At 34.9% G+C, this 8,211-nt stretch overlaps 1 annotated feature.

Annotated features, from left to right (window-relative positions):
• Positions 7,419–7,963: an enhancer, noted in NCBI's record as "NANOG hESC enhancer chr5:129563309-129563853 (GRCh37/hg19 assembly coordinates)". NCBI's record gives its function as "activates a minimal SCP1, AML or CMV promoter by ChIP-STARR-seq in naive and primed H9 embryonic stem cells {active_cell/tissue: H9 hESC(naive and primed)}" and the evidence as "EXISTENCE:reporter gene assay evidence [ECO:0000049][PMID:30033119]".

Genomic DNA, 8,211 nt, shown 5'->3' on the forward strand with positions numbered 1-8,211 from the left:
TGATGAGGTAAAAATATTGGTATAAAAATATTTCACTGCTGAAAGTTTTTAAAGTTATTATCTAATCCACATGTCACCAAAGTAAAATATGGAAGCGTGAATATTAATATCCACCTTATACTGTTTTAAAATATACTTGAAGAATTTTTTCCTGTAAAGCTTTTAGCAGAGTCTTACATAAAATAAGTACTCAATTACCTATCATCAACATTATCATCATTATCATCACCATTTACTCCCTGAGCCTGCGAAGTTAAAGGCACAACCAAATCCATGACAATTTGAATACATTTAAAAGGTTTGATCTGCAACTCCTAGTTAAAGGAGGAGATTGAACATATTCCTTATTAAAAGCATAAACTCACAAAGACACGGAGGATGAAAGAAGAGAGAAATAATAAAAATTACTTAAACAATTACTTAAAGATTAAAGTAGGTAAAAAAGTTAAAATTACTTAAATAAGAAACATTTAAGCAAAATAGAAAATTCTCCCAAAATTTGGAGTTATTGGCTCTAAGAACCTCTAGAAGAGATGAGAGGTGTAGAACTGAGTTAAGGAGACTTAGCAGTCTTTTTTAAAGAAGATTTATAGATCCCCTCCCCTTCCCCTCCACCCCTCCATACTCCCCACAAGATGCTGGATAGTTTTTATTTGGGGGGGTAATTTACTTGGGAGATATCACCAGACACCACCACCAGATTCATGGTAAAACCTTAATGTCCAGGGTAAAAAAGAATATAATTTTAACAATTTTTTCCATATGTAAAAAAGGAGTACTACTGTGGAATGCATTTATGTAATTTTTAAGTTAAATTATTGTCTAAGTATTTAAAAGCATTGACAGATGTGGGTATCTATGAATGCAGAAGAAATGGTGAATCTGAAACCACAAATAATATTTTCTTAATTTAATTCTCCCCAGAAATACTACTCATCAGCATGTTGAAGGTTTAGCTGATAATTTCCAGAACAAATTGCATGGGAAAGTTGAATCATTTGTGGGTTTTTTGTATGGTGAGTATTAGAATCCAGATATAGACATCTAGATAATAGCATTTATTGGGAGAGAATTTTTGCATGATTAAAAAATTTATACATGATGCCTATGACAATTGCAGTATTAGGAACTGATTAAATCTTTTTATTTGGGGAGTGTCTAAAATCTCAGTTTCTACTTTTATTATGACTGCTTCTTTTTTAACTTTTAATTTAAGTTCAGGGGTACATGTGCAGGGTTTGAAAAATAGGTAAACTTGTATCGTGGGGGTTTGCTGTACAGATTATTTATACCAGCCATGTATTAAGCCTAGTCCCCACGAGTTACTTTCCTGATCTTCTCCCTCCTCCCACCTTCCACCCTCCAACAGACCCCAGCATGTGTTGTTCCTCTCTATATGTCCATGTGTTCTCATCATTTAGCTCCCACTTATAAGGAAGAAGATGCAATATTTGGGTTTCTGTTCCTGTGTTAGTTTGCTGAGGATAATGGTCTCCAGCTCCATCCATGTCCCTGCAAAGGACATGATCTCATTCCTTCTTATGGCTGCATAGTATTCCATGATGTGCATGTACCACATTTTCTTTATCTAGTCTATCATTGATGGGCATTTAAGTTGATTCCATGTCTTTGCTATTGTGAATACTGCTTCAATAAACATACATGTGCATGTATTTTTATAATAGAATGACTTATAGTCCTTGATTTAACCTTTGTTTTGGAAAGAATCATAAATTTTAATGAAAAACTGGTCAAAATTGGTAAGAGTATCTACAAATATTGTAGCCAACGAATGGTCCTTCTAACACTGTATCTGTTACAGAACTTTTATGTAAATGGACAACATTTTACAATGTTGAATGAACATAGATTAATTAAATCATTCTACAGGATGGAATTGTTCAAAAGCTCAAAGTGAAACCCTTCACATATCATACAAGATTCTCTCAGCTGCAAGGAATAGAAAATTTCCATTTCAATTGGCTTAAAAATAGGAAAAATATTAATGTTACATGCAGAAAGTCCAGAGAAAGAGGTTTCAAAGTTGGTGGCTTTAGTATCTCAATGTCTCATTAAATATCATAGGAATCCTCAATGCCAGTTTCATACTCAGGCTTTAGCAAGATGCCTGATGGATGTAGTGCTGAACACAATTTTTAAAACACTTTAATATCCAGAGGAAGATGAGAGACCTTTCCTGGAACCAATCACTGGAAAGGGGAAATACATTTAAACCAGTGTAGCCTGCCCTGAAAGCTTGAAGTTGGGTCATCTTCCTCTGAGATACATGGAGAGGAGATTTTCTAGAAAAAAAAAAAAAAATCAAAGTTCTATCAAGACAGAAAAAAGGAAATAAATGCTGGGTAAGAACAGACATTGTTGTCTTAGATGTGTTTTCTTGGCTTGAACTGGAGACAGTTTAGTCTTGATTGATGAACTGCAAGCACAATATGTGGTTGGCACTACTAAAATGAGGTTAGGTGGTTTGGTATGAAGTGGTGCTGAATCCTTTTATGGAAATTTTTAAAGAGTGAAAATCAGCTAACTGATGAAGACTGGATCAAAAACATTTGGATGAACATTATTATAGCCTTGAATATTATAGCCATTGAATTCCTTTGAATATTTCTTGGCAAGGACTTCAAAAGAATTTACACCAACATATGCTTTGATTTGCACATTCCTAGTGAGACTGTGACTCAGAAATTTATTTGGCAGAGCACACACTGGTCTTTCTGGAGTTGAAGTTCATTTTCAAAATGAAAGCAATGGTCTCAGCCAAGTTCTACAATTTTGAGATTAAGATCCAATTTTCAAAACAAGGATTTCTTTGATTTTAAATTTCATGAAAATAAATTACCATTTCCCAGTTCATTTTCTCTTAAAAATTTGACAGCGTGAATGAAAAACTGCAAGTGGATGCTGTTAAATTATAAGACTACCTAATACTGCAACTAAATGGGGCAATATTAGAAATCAGAATTCTACAAATATCTTAGCTGCTTCCCTAAACATACAAACCAGTCAGCAAGATTTTATCCGTGTTCATGAGTACCTGTATTTGTGTACTACTGTATTCAACTAAGAAACTGCTTAAAAACAAACATTGCTCTAAGTTAAAGGATCAAAACTAAAATAATTTCTGATTTTCATATTTTGGTGCAATAGAAATATGTTAGATTTCAGATTGCAAATCAAAGTAGTAACATGTCGGTAAGGAAAAATTAAAGAATATTTAAGAATTAAATATTTATATATTTAAAATTACAATGTCTAATGTTACTTATGCTTTCTTTTGCTAAATGTTTACACTGAGATTATATTTATGGTAGCTGGAATTTTTTTCCATATGCTCTGATTTTTGCAATTGAATTATCTGCCTGTAGATATTTTCCTTGTGTCTCTGTTTTAGATCTAAATGAGTTATTTTGTCTTAAAACCAGCCAAAAACTGTATGTAGGACTGTCAAATGATTCTGCCTTGATCTTTTGAGGATTGGCTTTTTAATCCCAGGACTGTGTTGAGGCTACTTCTTTAGTGATTTACAGTTATATTTTGTGATGGAACTACTTTCATTTAGTTCTATTTATTACCGGATTTGATAGTTAATTTTGTCAGTTGTCTGAGCCACAAGATGTGCAGATACTCAGTTAGATGTTATTCTAGGTGTGTTTCTGAGGGTGTTTCTGGATGAAATTAACATTTAAATTGGTAGACTGAGTAAAGCAGGTTGCCCTCCCTTATGTGAATGAGCTCCATCCAATCCATTCAATCCCTTGAAGACCCGAACAGAAAAAAAAAAAAAAAAAAACAAAAAAACCTGAGTAAGAAGGAATTTTCTCCGGCCTGAGTGTCTTGAGCTGGAACGTCAGTTTTTTCCTGCCTTTGGACTCAAACAGAAACATCTGCTCTTCCTGGTTCTCAGGTCTATCAGCTTTTGAACTGGAACCTACCATTGGCCCTCCGCAGTGTCTAGCTTGCTGACTGTAGATCTTGTGATTTGTCAGCCTTCATAATCATATCAGCTAATTCCTCCTAATAAATCTCTTTCTATACATCCCCCCAACACATACACACACATCCTATTGTTTGTGTTTCTGTGGAAAACCTTGATGAATACATACACTGGAAACCAGATTTATTATCCCCTTGCTTTCAGCAAAAATTACATTAGGTAGATGATTGCTTTCATGCTTATTCTCTTGACTTCAACTGGGCCCAACATTTCTGAATAGTCTATTAAAGCATTACTTCTCAAATTTGGGGATCATTGTTAAAATGCAGTTCTGGTATAGTAAATCTGCATTTCTAGCAAGCTGTCAGCTGATACCAATGCTGCTCAATAGTAAGGTGTCTGAGAATTGTGTTTTCACAAACAATTCACTTACCCCTAAACTTTGACAATATATTGAAGATCATTTTCTGGAGCCTTTGTCTACAGAATTGCCTCTTGACATCTCAACACAAAAGTTACCTTAAATGAGACTGTATCTTTCAGAACCATCTATTGCCATCTAATGATAGTTTAGAAGGCAGTGAAGACTTATTAGGAAGGCATACCATACTCATGGAATAACTGTATCATACTTTCAAAGAAAATTATCAAAACTGATTTCTAGCAGTTTCCACAGATATTTATGACTTCTCCAATTCAATTAAGTTAAATATTTTAACATTTTCATTTGCTCCCCTCACTTTATATTCATTTACCACATGTGGCATAATGAAATAAACATAGGCTTTGGAGTGAGACACAACTTCTTTCAAAGTTGTGATTTCAAAGATTTCAAAGTAATCTAAATTCTTTGGACTTCAATTTAATTATCTATCAACTGAAATACACTCCTCATTACCAAGTGAGTCTTCTTTTTATTTGAAGCTCCTATTAAAAGTATAAATCTACAAAGCAGAGGCAAGAGGTTGTAGAAAACTTTAGTTGTTTTTATTTCATCATGGAATTACCAAATCCATGGAAATAAGGAAATGTCTTAGACCCAACCTGACTTAGAGAAGATGTCCTAACAAGTACTCTTTTACTACAGTATAATTCCTTAATTCTTCTTTCACTCATTACTTCACCCTCTCAAACAACATTATAACCACCTAAATCTACATGAGGGGAACATATGGGAGGAAGAAGAAATGGTTCCTTCTGAAACCTTTCCAGAAGATTGTTGCTATTTATGTTTTTTTCTGGGGACTTCTGTTGTATCTGATTCCTGTTGGAATCACAACACTTTATAATTTTCAGCATCTGCTCACAATGTTTGAAAAATTATGGCTTGTTAGATATCCTGATGCCTTAAGTCATATCTCAGAAATCTATTTCAGTACTATTCCTCACTATAATTAATATTGTTTAAAACAATAGAGATGTCTTTGAAATTTAAAAATATAAGAAATATTTTTAAAGAAGAATAAATTAAGGAAACAGATATTTATACAAAGACACAGTGTGTTTTTCTGTCTAGCTAACAAATTCTAACTGTATGTATAATTTTTGTTTTATACATATATAATCTTTGCTATAAAAATGTACAATTGCTTGTAGATCTGTGGTATTATTTCTGAGGGCTCTGTTCTGTTCCATTGGTCTATATCTCCGTTTTGATACCAGTACCATGCTGTTTTGGTTACTGTAGCCTTCTAGTATAGTTTGAAGTCAGGTAGCGTGATGCCTCCAGCTTTTTTCTTTTGGCTTAGGATTGACTTGGCGATGCGGGCTCTTTTTTTGTTCCATATGAACTTTAAAGTAGTTTTTTCCAATTCTGTGAAGAAAGTCATTGGTAGCTTGATGGGTATGGCATTGAATCTATAAATTACCTTGGGCAGTATGGCCATTTTCACGATATTGATTCTTCCTATCCATGAGCATGGAATGTTCTTCCATTTGTTTGTGTCCTCTTTTATTTCGTTGAGCAGTGGTTTGCAGTTCTCCTTGAAGAGGTCCTTCACATCCCTTGTAAGTTGGATTCCTAGGTATTTTATTCTTATTGAAGCAATTGTGAATGATCTTTGACAAACCTGACAAAAACAAGAAATGGGGAAAGAATTCCCTATTTAATAAATGGTGCTGGGAAAACTGGCTAGCCATATGTAGAAAGCTGAAACTGGATCCCTTCTTTACACTTTATACAAAAATTAATTCAAGATGGATTAAAGACTTACATGTTAGACCTAAAACCATAAAAACCCTAGAAGAAAACCTAGGCAATACCATTCAGGACATAGGTATGGCCAAGGACTTCATGTCTAAAACACAAAAAGCAATGGCAACAAAAGACAAAATTGACAAACGGGATCTAATTAAACTAAAGAGCTTCTGCACAGCAAAAGAAACTGTCATCACAGTCAACAGGCAACCTACAGAACAGGAGAAAATTTTTGCAATCTACTCATCTGACAAAGGGCTAATATCCAGAATCTACAATGAACTCAAACAAATTTACAAGAAAAAAGCAAACAAACCCATCAACAAGTGGGCGAAGGATATGAACAGACACTTCCAAAAGAAGACATTTATGCAGCCAACAGACACATGAAAAAATGCTCATCATCACTGGCCATCAGAGAAAGGCAAATCAAAACCACAATGAGATACCATCTCACACCAGTGAGAATGGTGATCATTAAAAAGTCAGGAAACAACAGGTGCTGGAGAGGATGTGGAGAAACAGGAACACTTTTACACTGCTGAAGGAACTGTAAACTAGTTCAACCATTGTGGAAGACAGTGTGGCGATTCTTCAAGGATCTAGAACCAGAAATACCATTTGACCCAGACATCCCATTACTGGGTATATACCCAAAGGATTATAAATCATGCTGCTGTAATGGCACATGCACACATATGTTTATTGCAGCACTATTCACAATAGCAAAGACTTGGAACCAACCCATATGTCCATCAATGATAGACTGGATTAAGAAAATGAGGCACATATACACCATGGAATACTATGCAGCCATAAAAAAGGATGAGTTCATGTCCTTTGTAGGGACATGGATGAAGCTGGAAACCATCATTCTCAGCAAACTATTGCAGGGACAGAAAACCAAACACCGCATGTTCTCACTCATAGGTGGGAATTGGACAATGAGAACACTTGGACATAGGAAGGGGAACATCACACACCGGGGTTTGTCGTGGGGTGGGGGGAGTGGGGAGGGATAGCATTAGGGGATATACCTAATGTAAATGATGAGTTAATGGGTGCAGCACACCAACATGGCACATGTATACATATGTAACAAACCTGCACGTTGTGCACATGTACCCTAGAACTTGAAGTATAATAAAAAAAAATAAGAAAATGTACAATTGCTTCTGTCTGAGTATTCTAGAAAGTAGAGCTGGAGATAAAGATAACATTGGCAATAACTGGGGGGTTGAGGTGGGGCAAATACAAAGCCTAAGGTATTAAGAGCAAGGGAAAATGGGAATGAGGTAAAAGATATAATGTGATACTGATGGCAGGTCACAAGCCAGATTTGTTTACTTGGTCTATAGGGCTTCTATGGAAGAAATACAAAAGGAATTATACTTAGAGTAATCTATAGAAAGTATTATTTAAAGGCAATTTGTCTCTTTAATTCCTTCCTCTTTCCCAATTCCCATTGGTCAAGATTTACCACAAGAGAGGCTAAGTGTTCTCTGGATTGCATCATTCGGCCCTCTATCAACCATTCAAGAGACAAAGACCCATACCCTGCTGTGTGATGTTTAATATAAGTCTGAAAACAGCAGGGTCCAGGTGGAACACTGATGAAACAGAGAAAAAAGGAAACTTTCTTTTCTCCTGCAGCAGGAGGCTGCAGGAAACCTACTACGAACTTTACATTCGAATATCCAGGTACTATAGATTCGGTTTTGCATAGCAATGTGTATAGCAGTCTAGTAACTTATCCAGGGTTTTACTTAAAATCAGGTTTTTAAATAATAAATCTTAATGCCATTTGCTTACCAGTCTTAATATTTTCATTACAACAAATGCATTGATAAAGTATCTACATGATTTCAAGGGGTAATTTTACTTAAAATGTGTTCTGCAGAGAAGTATGGAAATCTACTTTTGGTTTGCAATGTATGGCAAATAAAAGTAGTTTTAAAATCCTTTACATAAGAATGATGAAAGTCCTTTCAAGTATGGAGTTTATTATCTGGCAGGTAGATATTTGTGGAGGTTTATACATCAGCATAGGTAATGTGGT

This window comes from Homo sapiens, chromosome 5 (assembly GCF_000001405.40).
Source record: "Homo sapiens chromosome 5, GRCh38.p14 Primary Assembly".
In the NCBI taxonomy this organism is placed as follows: domain Eukaryota; kingdom Metazoa; phylum Chordata; class Mammalia; order Primates; family Hominidae; genus Homo; species Homo sapiens.